Source organism: Homo sapiens, chromosome 9 (assembly GCF_000001405.40).
Source record: "Homo sapiens chromosome 9, GRCh38.p14 Primary Assembly".
NCBI lineage: Eukaryota > Metazoa > Chordata > Mammalia > Primates > Hominidae > Homo > Homo sapiens.
Window position 1 is genome coordinate 15,721,242 of NC_000009.12, and position 14,346 is coordinate 15,735,587.

The following is a 14,346-nucleotide window of genomic DNA, read 5'->3' on the forward strand; positions in this document are numbered from 1 at the left end:
CCAAGTATAACAGAAAATTATATACTCTTGGGTTCAGAAATTATTATTTAAGCAAAATAGTGCAGTATAAAAGGCCTGACTAGTCAGAAACACAAGGACCACAGTAAGTGTACATAACTCCCCCAAACAATGGTAATGTATACTTCATTTAGTTGTTGGATAAAAGGTATGTACAAACACTGCCGTTACTTAGGAGACATGAAAACAAAAACAAAAACAAAACTCACTACCATGTGGGTCTTGATAAGGTAGAAAGTAGTCATAAATTTAAATTTGATATATTATGAACTTTAATTTGGCCGCTTGTTTAGAAAGACTATTAATACTTGGCCATACAGCAGTATACTTGGAGAATAAAATTCTATTCAAGAATTTTATTCTCCAAGTATACTGCTGTATGGCCAAGTATTAATAGTTTCATAACGTCTTTTCAGCTCTACCTAATTGTAGTATCTCTGTTACTATTTGCCTAAGTTTTGTCCCTTTGTGACTTTAAGGGTATATTTTCATCCTATATTTTTCTCTAGGCATCCACAAGGACAAAGATAAACCTCCCAGCTTCTCTGTTGTCCTTGAGAGATTGAGGCGTACCTTGACAGATTACCAGAACAAGCTGGAAGATGCATCTAATGAGGTAACACTTGCACTGTTTGGCTCCACACATATAGCCTTCGGCCTGTACCAGTACGTATTCCTTGCTTGTTACAAAGGTCAAAAAGATTGGGAATGTTGAACTGACAGCTTCACAGATACAAAAAATAATAAATTATCTTTCGCTGTTCTTTCTTTAAGTGTGGCCTAAAGTCATGTCTCACTTACGTTTTTGTAACTCTTCAGTCACACTATTATTTTCAAAGTTATAAAGACTCTATCACTTCTTGATCTTCATAATTTATCTGTTTTAACTTAATGAAAAACACTATGCAAGTAGTTTAAGTTAATATGTACTGTATTTAAATGTCAGTGTGTTTTTATGACATTTGGTATAGCTACTGGAAATTTAGATTTTGTCAGTGTTTTAGGTTAAGATTTCTACAAACTGTGGAAGTCTTAATAAAAAAGAGAGAAATTAGTTTTCATTCTCTAAAGGCAGTAAAGTGTTGTTAGAAGTTTTTAAAAAACAAATATCTGTTTGATGTAGCCTGGGAGCTTTTAGTTTGCTGATTGAAAAAGCTCATGCTTCTATTTATCATCCCATTTGTATTGTTTAATGTGTGGGTTGATAATTTTCTTGGGTATTAAAATGTTTTATGAATTTGTGCTTTAAGAATTGAAGAGTTTGTCTAGTTACATCTTGTCAAATTAGCATATGAAGTAATTACATTAAATACAATTAGTTAGCAAAGCAACAAACAGATTGTTAGAGTCAAAGACAAGTCACATAGCATGGAATTTGGAGTTTATCCTTGTGTGTATCTCTTTCTTTCATATAATATAAATGCCATAAAACGGTTACATTTCACATTTCATATGCGGCTTATTTTATTTTAGCTTGCTAAGATGAACAAAGAAGGAAAAGTGAGTCTTTTTAATACCCTCGGTAATTGTTCAAAAGGCATAAAAGAAAATGACCATCGAAATAATTAAATTTCTATGAGGAACAAATATTACGAAGTCTTTCCCAGTGAGACAAGACAACCTGTATTGTTAGTAGTTTATGAAACTCTTCTGAGGCCTAGGTCTGGAAGCTGCAGGGTAACTAGGAACATATTACCCACAGCGAATTGTTATTTGGGAGGATGAATGTCACATGATCCTCAGCACAGTTGAAAAGTCGACTCAGCAGGCTTTGGCTTAGTAATGCGCTTTGTTGTGAACCAGTGCCAGAGACAGCAGTGGGGAGACCAAGGGGGTGGCTGCAAAGAAAGCAAAAAGAGCAGTCTGACAGAAAGAAGAATGAACTGTCAAAGAAAATAAATCACAAGCGGTGCAGGACCAACTGATGACCTGCCACAAGCCTTCCCAGTAGGACTGCATGTGACCGACCCTGAAGTTGTCATATGGAGTGAGAGACCAGTGAATATCCTCATGATGTATAGAAAGAACAGTCTTCTGCTCTGTTCTTTTTTATTTACTTATAGATGCCCCTGCTTCTGGCATTTTGGTCCAGTAGGATTTTAAGAATAAAGTTGTATTTGTTTACAATAAGAATGAAATCCTTTATCTGGACGTGTGGTAAAAATATAGTAACATAAGTGATATTTTAAGCTTGAATGCTTTCTTTTCTTTTTAGCCACATGAACTTGTGACAGAAGCTATATAGCATTTAACCAAAAGAAATAATTTTTTAAAGACTCTTAATTACTATTGAAAAATTTGTATTTAAGTAATTGCATAAAAAGCACTTAAAGATTAACTTTTGAGTTACCCATCCTTGAAAAATGTAAAAAAGTTACTTATATTTTCTTTCATCAGCTAAACAGCATGAATGATGTTAAGGAAAAGGCATGTAATGAACTTGATTCTACGAAACAGAAGATAGACTCTCACACTAAAAATATAAAGGTATTATTTAGAATAACTTTTACCTTTTGTATTAAGAAACAAATATAGTTATCTAGGGAATATTTTAAAGTAGAGATATTGAGGTACCTGAAAATATGTATTTCTATTTTTTAAAGTATGTATGGGTAGAATTTTAATTTTTTCTTGTTGATTAAGAGTAACAAGAATGTTTTTTTCATTTAAAAAATTAAAACCTGATTGGAAATTATTTTGGTTAAAGGAAAATTTATTTCCCAGATTTAATTATAATACCTTATGAGATTCAAATAATTATTTAAGATGAAATGTCCAGCCTTAGGTACGTACTAAACATATTTTACATAAGCACATCATATTTGGAGTCAGTTTTCATCATTTTAAGGTGGAGCCATTGTTTTCAGTACATCATGTCTGTTAATGGGCTGAGACCACACCTGGCTAAGGCCCAGGACTATAGTTTATTTTAGTTTCTGTGCTGGTTTTATGTACTACATCTTTGCAAAATTATGCTGAGTCAACTCTCAGAAGTTTCCCAGTATTGCTGGAATTTCATTATGTTGTTTCATGTTGGGTTTGTCCTGGACACACTTCAAAAGAATTTGTTAGGTTTAAGGAATAAACAGTTCAGCAAAATTTTGTGCCACATATTTGAGATTTCTATAAGTGGTTGGGATGTCATTGGAAAGTAAATGTTCTTATGTTAAATGTAAGATATTTATTTTAAAATATTTTAAAATTTTTGAACTACAACGTTGTTTTAAAAAAATAGGTTGAAAGGAAACTCCCTTGGAAGAACTTTTTGGAATAAGCCATCATATTAACATTTTATGTAAATGTTTAAACATAACAAATGTTCTAATTTTTGAGCTGAGATATTATATTTAGAAAATACATTCAGTAAAATATTTTAATGTAAACAAATGCTTGCCTGCCTTTGTGATTCTTTCATTTTAAAGCTTTGAAAATGTTCAATATGTGTTTTATACTAGTGTCCCCTCACCCCTTGTTGGCTGGCCTTTCTACAATCTCTTTATTTGGTATCTATGACAGGAACTTCAGGATAAACTGGCTGATGTTAATAAAGAGTTAAGTCATTTACACACTAAATGTGCAGACCGAGAGGCTTTAATAAGCACTTTAAAAGTGGAACTACAAAATGTGCTGCACTGTTGGGAGAAAGAAAAGGCTCAGGCAGCCCAGTCTGAAAGTGAACTGCAGAAGCTTTCCCAGGCTTTCCATAAGGATGCAGAGGTATTACCTGAGACTCAATGACTGTCAGGAAGGGCCTTTCACTAATCTCAGTGTTATACATCAAGTGACTATTTTTACTTGTATTTAATTAAGAAAATTGTTCTGAGCAGAGTATTTTGAAATGTTTGTGACAGCTACAAAATCACTCCATTACTCTTGTGTCATTCTCTTTTGTGAGAGAAGTACTATAACTTGCACAACTAATTTTTTTTGTTTATCATGTGTACAACTATCTTTTTGGACTTTTAGAATATTGTAACTCAAGTAACTATGCTCCTAACAGTCCTTTCAAGGTTCCTGTTTGCCAATGACAAAATTATTTTTATTTCAGTAGCTTGGTAGATTGATGGTGGAAAGAATAAATATTTTATAATCAGATAGACCTGAACTTGGATGCTAATACTTCTGTTTATAAATGATGTGGCTGTGGACAAGCTATATAGCTTAGCCTCTCCACATCTTCGTTTCCTTATTTATTTTTTTTCTTTTTTGAGACAAAGTCTTGCTCTGTTGCCTAGGCTGGAGTGCAGTGGTGCGATCTGGGCTCATTGCAACCTCCACCTCCCAGGTTCAAGCGATTCTCCTGCCCCAGCCTCCTGAGTAGCTGGGATTACAGGTGTCCACCACCATGCCTGGCTAATTTTTGTATTTTTAGTAGAGATGGGGTTTCACCATGTTAGCCAGGCTGGTCTCGAACTCCTGACCTCAGGTGATCTGCCCACCTTGGCCTCCTAAAGTACTGGGATTACAGGCCTGAGCCACTGTGCCTGGCCTAGTTTCCTTATTTGTAAAACAGTAATAATATCTACTTTAAGAGATAGCCTCCTAACTCTGTATAATTATAGGATGTTAATAAAAATTTAGAAAAATAAGAGTCCCATAAAATTAAAACTTTTCATTTAGAAACCCTGGAGAGTTGCCTACCCATTTATGTTTATTAATGACTTATAAAAATATTATGACACAAATTTCATATTTTGTTTAAGCCTCTGTGAATGGAATTATCTTCTAGTTCTTTTTACCCTATGGGTTATAGAGCTAGTCTAGCTAGTGGAACTGGTTTATCTAAGTCATCCTGCATATTGAGTTCATTACTCCAACAAATATGAACATGAATGCCAAGAGAGTAAAAAGGAAACATTCTTTCCACTCTTTTTACAGTCTGGGATTTAAATTGTGTCCACATGAAGGGGTTGGAATTGCTCTACACATCAGATAATGATTAAAGTAAAGGAAACTAGAAGCCTGACTATATTGTAAAGTCAGCATGTCTACAGCGCTGTGGTTGGGTTCAACATGTGTGAATTGATTTTGGATTTTGGAGTCTCTTTTCATGCCAAATGGATGATTATCATGCTTGGTTTATCACAGCCCAAGCAAAAAGGACATAATAGCGACACAATGAATTATCCTTGAGGATGAACTTCCTTGAGAACAAACGTGATCAGTAGGCAAAACACAGGAGGAAGATTTTTATGTATTTGTTAAGTTATATTTAATAAGACTTTAAAACATTTTGACCTAGTTAAATAATGCAAAAGTCATCATTAACTGCTTATGAAAAGGTATAGCATATTTGTGAAAAAAATCTGATTTCTTAAATTTGTTGTTGTAACTACATTTTCAAATTTTTTGATTTTTAAATTATTACATTTGGAAAAAAGGTGGCATACATAGTGAACTAAAGATTTATATTTTGATATTTGTAAGAAAATGTTCTCTATAATTTCTAATTATAAAACTTTTACATATGCTATATTCAGTTTTTTAAAAATCTATAATAGACTTTCTAAATTTTTCTTTTTAAGTTTGTCTCTTTTAAAAGTTTTCTTCCTGCTGATCTATTAAAAAATCTTGAGGGAACTTATTTTATCTAGATAAAATAAAAATATTCATTTTGCAGCTTTACAATTACCTTGTCTTAGAGTTCCATGCTTTGGGACTTTACAGATGAAACACCTTATAAAGAGAGCTATTTGACATTATAGTAAGTAAACCCTCCTCATGTGTTCAAATGTGATCTGCTTTATATGAATTCTGCAGCATAGTAAGTGTTTCTAAGTCATTCAGCAATGGATAGTTTAATTACTGAAGTGGTAATATAATTTTAAAGGACTTTTAAAAACATATTTCTAATTGGACATTTTCGAAAGTATGTAATGAGCAGCTATATCCATTTTTTTTTGCTGTTACTTTATAATATTTAAACACCTACAAATGCCCAGTGTGCCAAATACTATATGAACTTATAAGTGGGGAAAACAAATGAGCCCATCTTCCATATCTTTCATATCACTATCTGCTTTGCCTAAGGGGCTTGGGATAGATTTCCTATAAGTAGTAAGTAAACTGGATTCTCTGGAGGAAGAAGAAAGCTGAGTAATTGTGTCCATGTAAAGTACAGATATTGGTATAACTTTTTTTCATCAGAGTTGAATAACACTTTTTTTCTGTATTGTTTTTTGACAAGTAGTATCTATTTTGGCAAATGTAACTATTAAATTATAGAATTACTGTACTGAGTTACAGTTAGATAGGCTTATAAACAATGAGTCCAATCCATATGCTTCGTGTGATAGCTAAGGAAACTTAAGCCTGAGCAGGTGTTTACTCAAATCACAACCTCCATCAGTAGCAGAGGTGGAGATGAATCTTGGTCTTCTGGCTTCCAGACTTCAGATTTCGATTTTGAATACCAAGTGTAAGCAATTCCAAATGTTTTATCTGGTGCTTAGTTTTGATTATAAAAAAAGTCATTAAAATATTCTGAGACTTGAGTATTGTAATTCCTTTTCAGGTTTTTTAAATTAACTCTTCACCATTAGTATTATGTATTTTACTTCTTACAATGTTTATATACAGCAATTAATTTTTCTTTTTTTTTTCCTGCAGGAGAAGCTAACCTTCCTTCACACCTTATATCAGCACTTGGTAGCAGGCTGTGTGCTCATAAAACAACCAGAAGGCATGCTGGATAAATTCTCTTGGTCTGAGCTTTGTGCAGTCTTACAGGAGAATGTTGATGCCCTGATTGCAGACCTCAACAGGGCTAATGAGAAGGTAACTGTCCTCAGGCACCAGATACCTCTATTAAATTCAGTGACATTTGTCCACATCACAGTATCATTAAGAGGGGCTGACATTCATCTTATTTCAAAAAGAATTTGGATGTTAATAATTCAATACCATTAATTATGGCTTGTCTACAACTCAGTTTGATGCCATTGCTGTGGGCATGTAAATGTGACTGAAGTCTGTATGAAGTCTCTAAGCTCCACTTTCTGTGCAGGACATGCTAATACTACTAGCCAGTATTAGCCACAGGGACCTAATTAAAAGAAAATAAATTAATCTTACTGATGAAGCAATTCAAAGACCTTAGTCATTTACATTAATAAACCAACTCTTTATGTTAGCATAAAATAGAAGCAGGATATAGTTATTCAAAAACATGATCTTAAAATTCTTTGCTTAGGAAATATAAGGTGTTATTTTTAAAAGCTTAAACATTTTAAATTATATGCTTATGATTTGCTTCTCGAAATACAACAAAATGTATATTAGAAAACTCACTCCATGCTTTAGACTGCAAAAAGTGTATTTTATAGGAGAATATAGTAGACCTTTATGGTAACATTACTATCTCACAAGTCTAGGAAATCAGTCTCCAACAAATGTTTAAAAACCTGCTTTTGGTCATAGAAAATTACAGTGGCTTAGCAGATCAACATATGCCACCATTAAAGACACATTGGTTCTTATCCTGGGTCTATTGAACTAGTCAGTACTGTGTTTATGTGGTTTAGTTTCCAGGTCTTAGTTGCAATGACATGTGCTCTTAAGGGACAAGAAGAGAAAAACTGTCCCGTAAGTTAAAAAAAAAAATTCTGTTGAAGTAATAAAACAGCATATTGACCTAATTTCAGGGTGATATTTTTTATTATTGAGCATTTTATCTTGGTCCTATTGACAAACACAACCATAGACACTGAGAAGTAGGGCTAGGAAATGAGGGAATAAATTGTGAAAGGCACAGATGCTATTCTTGATTGTGAATGTGTACATAATGGATTTGAAAATTAAAGATAATTAAAATGAATGTGTTTTAACCCTATGAGATGGTATTATATTTTCAATAGTTTTCATTGTTTCAAAACATCCTTAATAGTCATACATTTTAGAAAATGAGGATTTTCTTTCCAGAGTTTGAATGTGAAACAAAAAATGGTTAGAACATTCTGCTTTATTTCATGTAAACTGTTTGCAGATTTTTAAATCTTACTTACTTTTTTTCCCATTGAGATATTTGAATAGCTTGAGCTTTGGTTCCAGAAGTAACAGTATCTTTCTCAATCTCAATCAAATTAATTATAGAATAAGTAACTTCATTAGAAAGAGAAGATGAAAAATTTGCCATCTAAATATACAAGTAACACAATTTTCTGCTAACGTGTGGCAGTTTACACTGCTATTTTCTTTTTTTAAATTTCTTTATTTACATTTTATGTTAAAATTTTTATATGATCTTAAGGAATAAAATATAGTAGGACATTTTGGGTATTTTATTGGGGGAGATGACACAAAGAAATAGCTTGTGAGCATATTTCCTTCTCTGTTGCATCTCCCCGTATAGATAAGGCATCTAGAGTATATCTGTAAAAACAAGTCTGACACGATGAGAGAGCTTCAGCAGACTCAGGAAGACACCTTTACCAAAGTGGCAGAACAGATCAAAGCCCAAGAGAGCTGCTGGCACAGACAAAAGAAGGAACTAGAGCTGCAGTATTCTGAACTCTTCCTGGAGGTGCAGAAGAGGGCACAGGTATGCTACCTTTACAAAGAGCTTTAAAAAATGGGTTACTCAGTGTAACCATTAGAAACTTTTTTTTTTTCAGTAGCAGTGCTAAATCAGTTTAAACTTCTTAAGAACTTCGTAGAACTTGTTTAGATACACATATATTTGTTTAGATACACACACATACGTGTGTGTGTATGGGTGTGTATATTAAGGATTGTCTTTCATGTAAGTTTGGAAATATATGGGTTTCTGATTAAAATATCCCAAAATGCATTGGTCAGTTAATTAAATGCGAAAATTATATTTCCTTTATTTATTTTTAAAATAAAATATTAAAGTATTTGGTAATGTATTGTCAGTTTTAGTGTAGGTATTCCTTTATCTGGTTTACTCCATTTGTGGAGGTTCCTATGTGAACCATCATTTAAATTTATTTGGGGTTAAAATCTCCTATGCCTGCTGATATTATATAAGGTTATATTATATAACTGATATTATATAAGGTTATAGTTGTAGGCCATGTAGCAAAAGTAATTCACTATGAGTTGTATTATGTATTATATCTTGATTGAGAGTAGAAGTTATGGGTTAACATAACCATGTATTTTTTCTACACAAATTATCATCAACATTATTTATATTGTTAACTATCATCTTCACCTAATCAGGAATAACTTGATGATAGGGTATACTTTTTTGGCATTGAATTTATTAATAGGTCACTTTTGTTCCTAAGTTAGGATACTTAGGAACCAGAAGGTTGTATATTCTTCCCATGGTTGATTTGGTATTTAGCCTCTTTATTTGATCCATTCATGCTTATATTGGCAAGTCTAATTAAAAATAACCAAACTATATAAATATATATACACACACATACATAAATAAAATTATTATTATTATATTAAATCAGGTCATTCTGTATCCCCAAATTTAAAGGTCCTATATGAACTTATGCCTTTCTATATGAATTTGAATGAATCAACAAACGTGCCATCTAAAAGTAGTAATTTTTTCATTGTATGCAGATTACTATATTATATGCTCTGCATTTTCTAATATTGAAGTAAAAGAGCTAAACAATTTTAATTTTGTAGAGGTAGCATTGATATACAGTGACATGCACAAATCTTAAGTGTATAATTTGATGTTTTTAAAAAGTATTTATTTGATATGTAATATTTGTACATATTTATGGGGTACATGTGATATTTTGATATATGCATAGAATGTGTAATGCTCAAGCCAGAGTAAGATATCTATCACCTTGAGCATTTATCATTTCTTTGTGTTGGGAACATTTCAAATCTTCTCTTCTTGCTATTGTGAAATACACAATATATTGTTGTTAATAAAGTCACCTTACTGTGCTTTTGAACACTAGACCTTATTCCTTCTATCTAACTGTATTATTGTACCCTTTAACCTACCTCTCTCCATCCCTTTCCTCCCCCAACACACCCTTCCTAGACTGTGGTAACTACAATTTGATGTTTTGATCAACATAAACACCCATGTGATCATTACCCCATTTAAGACTTCAAACATTTTCATTACCCTAGAGTGTTCTCATGTTCTCTCTTCCAGTCAGTTTTACGCCTCATAGGCAACCATTGTTCTGATGCCTGTCATGTAGATTAGTTTTCACCTGTTCTTGAATTTCATGTAAGTGGAATCATTCAATAGTCTGGTGATTGACTAATTTCACTCAATATTAATGTTCCGAGCATAATGTCATTTACGTTGTTGTGTGAATCAGTACTTCATTCTTCTTTATGGTCACTAGCGTTCCATTTTATCACAGCACCACTATTTGATGGATTGTGGGTTGATGGATATTTGAGTTGTTTCTGTTTTTTAAATATTGTAAGTAAAATTGCCACAAACATTATTGTACAAGTCTTTTGTCAACATATGGTTTTATTTCTCTCGCTTAATTACTAAAGTGCAGTTGCCAGGTCATGGGATATATGTGTGTTCATAAGAAACTGTCAAAAGTTTCTAAAAAATGCTTGTGTCATTTTTTATTCCCACCAGCAACACATGTAAGTTTCCATTGTTCTACATCCTCTGCAGCACTTGGTATTGTCAGTCTTTTAAATTTTAGTCATTATAGTGGTTTTAAAATGGAGTTTCATTGTGATTTAAAGTTGCATTTTTTTGGTAATTCATGATGCTGAGCACCTTTCATATACTTATTGGCTATTCACATATCTTCATTTGTAAAGTATCTCTTCTACTGTTTTCTCATTTAAAAAATAGAGATATTTGGTTTTTATTATTGATTTCTAAGAGTTCTTTACATATCCTGGATACATATCCTTTGTCATGTATATGCATCACAATATTTTCTCTGAATCTCTTGCTTGCCTTTTCAGTGTTTCTTTTGATGATCATAAGTTTTAAAATTTTGATGAAGTCCAACTTACAAATCTTTTTCTCTTTTGGCTATTTGTTTATATATGTGAAATGATTTTTCCTTACTTCAAGGTTGGGAAGATAATGTCTTGTTTCTTCTAGAAGTTTCATAGTTTTAGCTTTTACGTCTAAGTTTGTGATCCCTCTCAAATTAATTTTTGTGTGTGCTGTTAGGAAGAGTTTCATTTTTTCCCTCTTCATTTATTGTTCCCACTTCACTTGTTCAGCACTTTCCTAGCTGAATAGCCTTGGTACCTTTGTGAAAAAACAGTTGGCCATATTTAGAAACCACAGACTTGTCCATCTATATAGTTTTGCCCTCTCCAGAATGTCATATAAATGGACTCATACAGTATATAGCCTTTTGGGTCTGGTTACTTTCACTTAGCAAAATATATTTGAGATTCAGTCACATTGTTGCATATATCAGTAGTTAATTCCTTTTTACTGCTGAATAATGTCCCATTGTATGGCTGTAAAATTTTATCCAAATACTTGCTGATGGGCCTTTGGATTGCTTTTAGTTTTGGCAATTATGAGTAGAGATGCTTTAAACATCCATGGAAAGGTTTTTGTGTGATCATAAATTTTCATTTCTCTTGGGTAAATACCTAGGAGTTTGATTTCTAGATTATATGGTAAGTGTATATTTATATGGTTATATGGTAAGTGTAACTTAAGCAACTATTAAGTTGTTTTTCCAAGTGACTATATCATTTTGCACTCTCACTAGCAATGTAAGAGATTTTGATTTGGTCTGCACCTGTGCCAACATATGACTTCATCATTTTTTTCTTTTGAATTTTAGCCATTATAATAGGTGTGTAATGCCATGTCATTGTGATTTCGATTTACATTTTCCCTACTGCCTAATAAATTAATCATTTATTTATGTGTTTATTTGCTATCTGTATATCTTTTTTGGTGAGTTATCTGTTCAGATATTTTGCTCAGTTTTTAATTGGATTGTGTGTTTTCTTATCGTCAAATTTTGAGAGTTATTTACATACCGGAGGTTCAGGTCATTTTTCAGATACATGATTTGTAAATGTTTTCTACTGTTCTCTTAGCAGTACTTTTGCAAAGCAAATGTTTCAAATTTTTATGACCCATTTATCAATTTTTTTATGGGTTATACTTTTGATATTACATGTAAGAACTCTTTGCCTAAGATTATAGGCACCATTTTTTTCCCTATATGTTTTATAGTTTTAGGTTTTACATCTAGGTCTATGATCAATTTTGAGTTAGTTTCTGTAAAGGTGTGAGGTATCGATTAAGGTCAGTTTTTTTTTTTTTTTTGCGTATTCATGTCCATTCCAGTAACATTTATTGAAATCACTGTCCTTTATTGAATTGCCCTTGTACCTTTATCAAAAATCAGTTCACTGTTTGTGTCAATCTATCTCTAGACTTTCTTGTCTGTTCCATTTATTTATGTGTCTAATTCTTTTTTTCTTTCAATACTATACTGATTTAACCTTTTACTAAGTTTAAAATCAGGTAGTGTGAGTCTTCCAACTTCTTTTTTCATCAATGTCCTGAACTCTTTGAAAATCTACCAGAAGGCATAGCAATTCACTTTTTTCTCTTTTTGAGACACTTTCGCCCTGTTGCCCTGGCTTGAGTATGGTGGCACAGTCACGGCTCACTGCAGCCTTAACCTCCTGTGCTCAAGTGGTCCCCCACCTCAGCCTCCCAAGTAGCTGGGACTGTAGGCATGCACTACCATGCCTAACTAATTTTATTTTTAAAATTTTTTTGTAGAGATGAGGTCTCACTATGTTGCCCAGGCTGGTCTCCAACTCCTGGCCTCAAGTGATCCTCTTTCCTTGGTCTCCCTAAGTGTTGTGATTACAAGCGTGAGCCACTGTACCCAGCTGCAGTTCATTTTTTGAAGTAAGAGAATCAGTCATCACAAATGCTAATGTTTTAGGAGAAGCTCTCATTGAAGACTTTTCTCTGAAGAATGTGTAATACCTTAGTCTTTGACCCATCTGTATACAAATGGAAATGATCATTTTAATTATCTGTAAAAGTACATTACTATTATAAATTGGAGGCTGAGTGTGGTGGCTCATGCCTGTAATCCCAGCACTTTGGGAGGCCGAGGCAAGTGGATCACCTTGAGGTCAGAAGTTTGAGACCAACCTGACCAACATGGAGAAACCCCGTTTCTACTAAAAGTACAAAAAATTAGCCAGGCGTGGTGGCGCATGCCTGTAATCCCAGCTACTTGGGAGGCTGAGGCAGGAGAATCACTTGAACCCAGGAGGCAGAGGTTGCAATAAGCCGAGATTGCGCCATTTCACTCCAGCCTGGGCGAAACTCCAACAAGAGCGAAACTCCATTTAAAAATAAATAAATAAATAAATAAATAGGCATATATTCTGTATTATTTATGTACATATTTGCTTTTTTATCAAATATAATTGAATACACTGCAGCAATTTATTTTGGTATTATGTTTGATAAACTGTTATTATAATACATATTATAGGACCTGTAAATTTTATTTTAGGAAATTTTGTTATGATTAATTCTATATCTTTTACCACCAAAAGTGCAATGCAAATAAAAAATTTTCATTTTACATTACTTAATACATTTTCAAAAATTATGTTGATAAGGACATGAGGGGAAAAAATCCGCAGTTGTTATATAGGATTGTGAGTTATAGAGGATGTTTGGTGTCAGATGAGCATAACCATAAGTATATTCCATCTGCTGGGAAACAAATGACCTATTCTTAGAGTCTTATGTTTAATATTTGGCCATTGTAAAGAAGCAATTAGTAAAAGACACTAAATTAAAGTAAAAAACAATATTTGGATTTGATTGCTTTTATCTGAAAAAATGTAGTAGATGTTAGAAAAGTAGTGTTTGTAAGAATCTAATATTTCTAAGACTTTTTTAATGTCGAAGCTTTAAAACAGTTAGTGTAAATGCTACTAGAAAAATGAAATTTGTAGAGAAGGCAGACTGGTTTTACTATCACAGCATGTCTTTAGCACTGGGTAAAGTTTGCTAGCCACATGTTGGGTAATTCTTGAATTTAAATACGTTGAGCCATCATGTAAATATATCTCAAGTGTCTATGCCTACTAAAGTATCTGGGCCCAGTGCCACATACCATTCCATTTACTAACTTTGTTTTTGTAATCTTAGCATTTATGTTCTTGTTTCTTTTCTATTTGAAAAAGATAGTTATTGGAACAAGGACTTCCTTTCTAGAAGTAAAGTTTTTTTTTTACTGTCAGTTAATTAAGGGTTACCCTTGATGTAATGTTTATTGTAAACACTTTAGATTTATTTGACATTTTAGTAAAATCAAGTGAGTTTAGAATGGAGAACAAAACTCAGGGAGATTCAGGTTCATCATGCTATATTGCATT

General features: G+C 32.8%; 1 protein-coding gene across 35 annotated transcripts in view; it reads left to right on the top strand.

Moving 5' to 3' along the window:
• The window catches only part of CCDC171 (coiled-coil domain containing 171), a 556,042-nt gene that overhangs the window by 168,357 nt on the left and 373,339 nt on the right, over positions 1-14,346 (top strand). For 34 of the 35 annotated variants that reach the window (XR_007061261.1, XR_001746227.3, XR_001746228.3 and 31 more), the window contains 5 exons: positions 528-634; positions 2,416-2,505; positions 3,535-3,735; positions 6,628-6,795; positions 8,369-8,557. Coding sequence is in view for 30 of the 35 variants with exons in the window: in XM_047422930.1 (XP_047278886.1) it covers positions 528-634; positions 2,416-2,505; positions 3,535-3,735; positions 6,628-6,795; positions 8,369-8,557 (755 nt within the window). In the remaining 5 variants the exon portion in view is untranslated. The remainder of the gene's footprint in view (positions 1-527; positions 635-2,415; positions 2,506-3,534; positions 3,736-6,627; positions 6,796-8,368; positions 8,558-14,346) is intronic. The other variant, NM_173550.4, reaches the window with a different exon arrangement.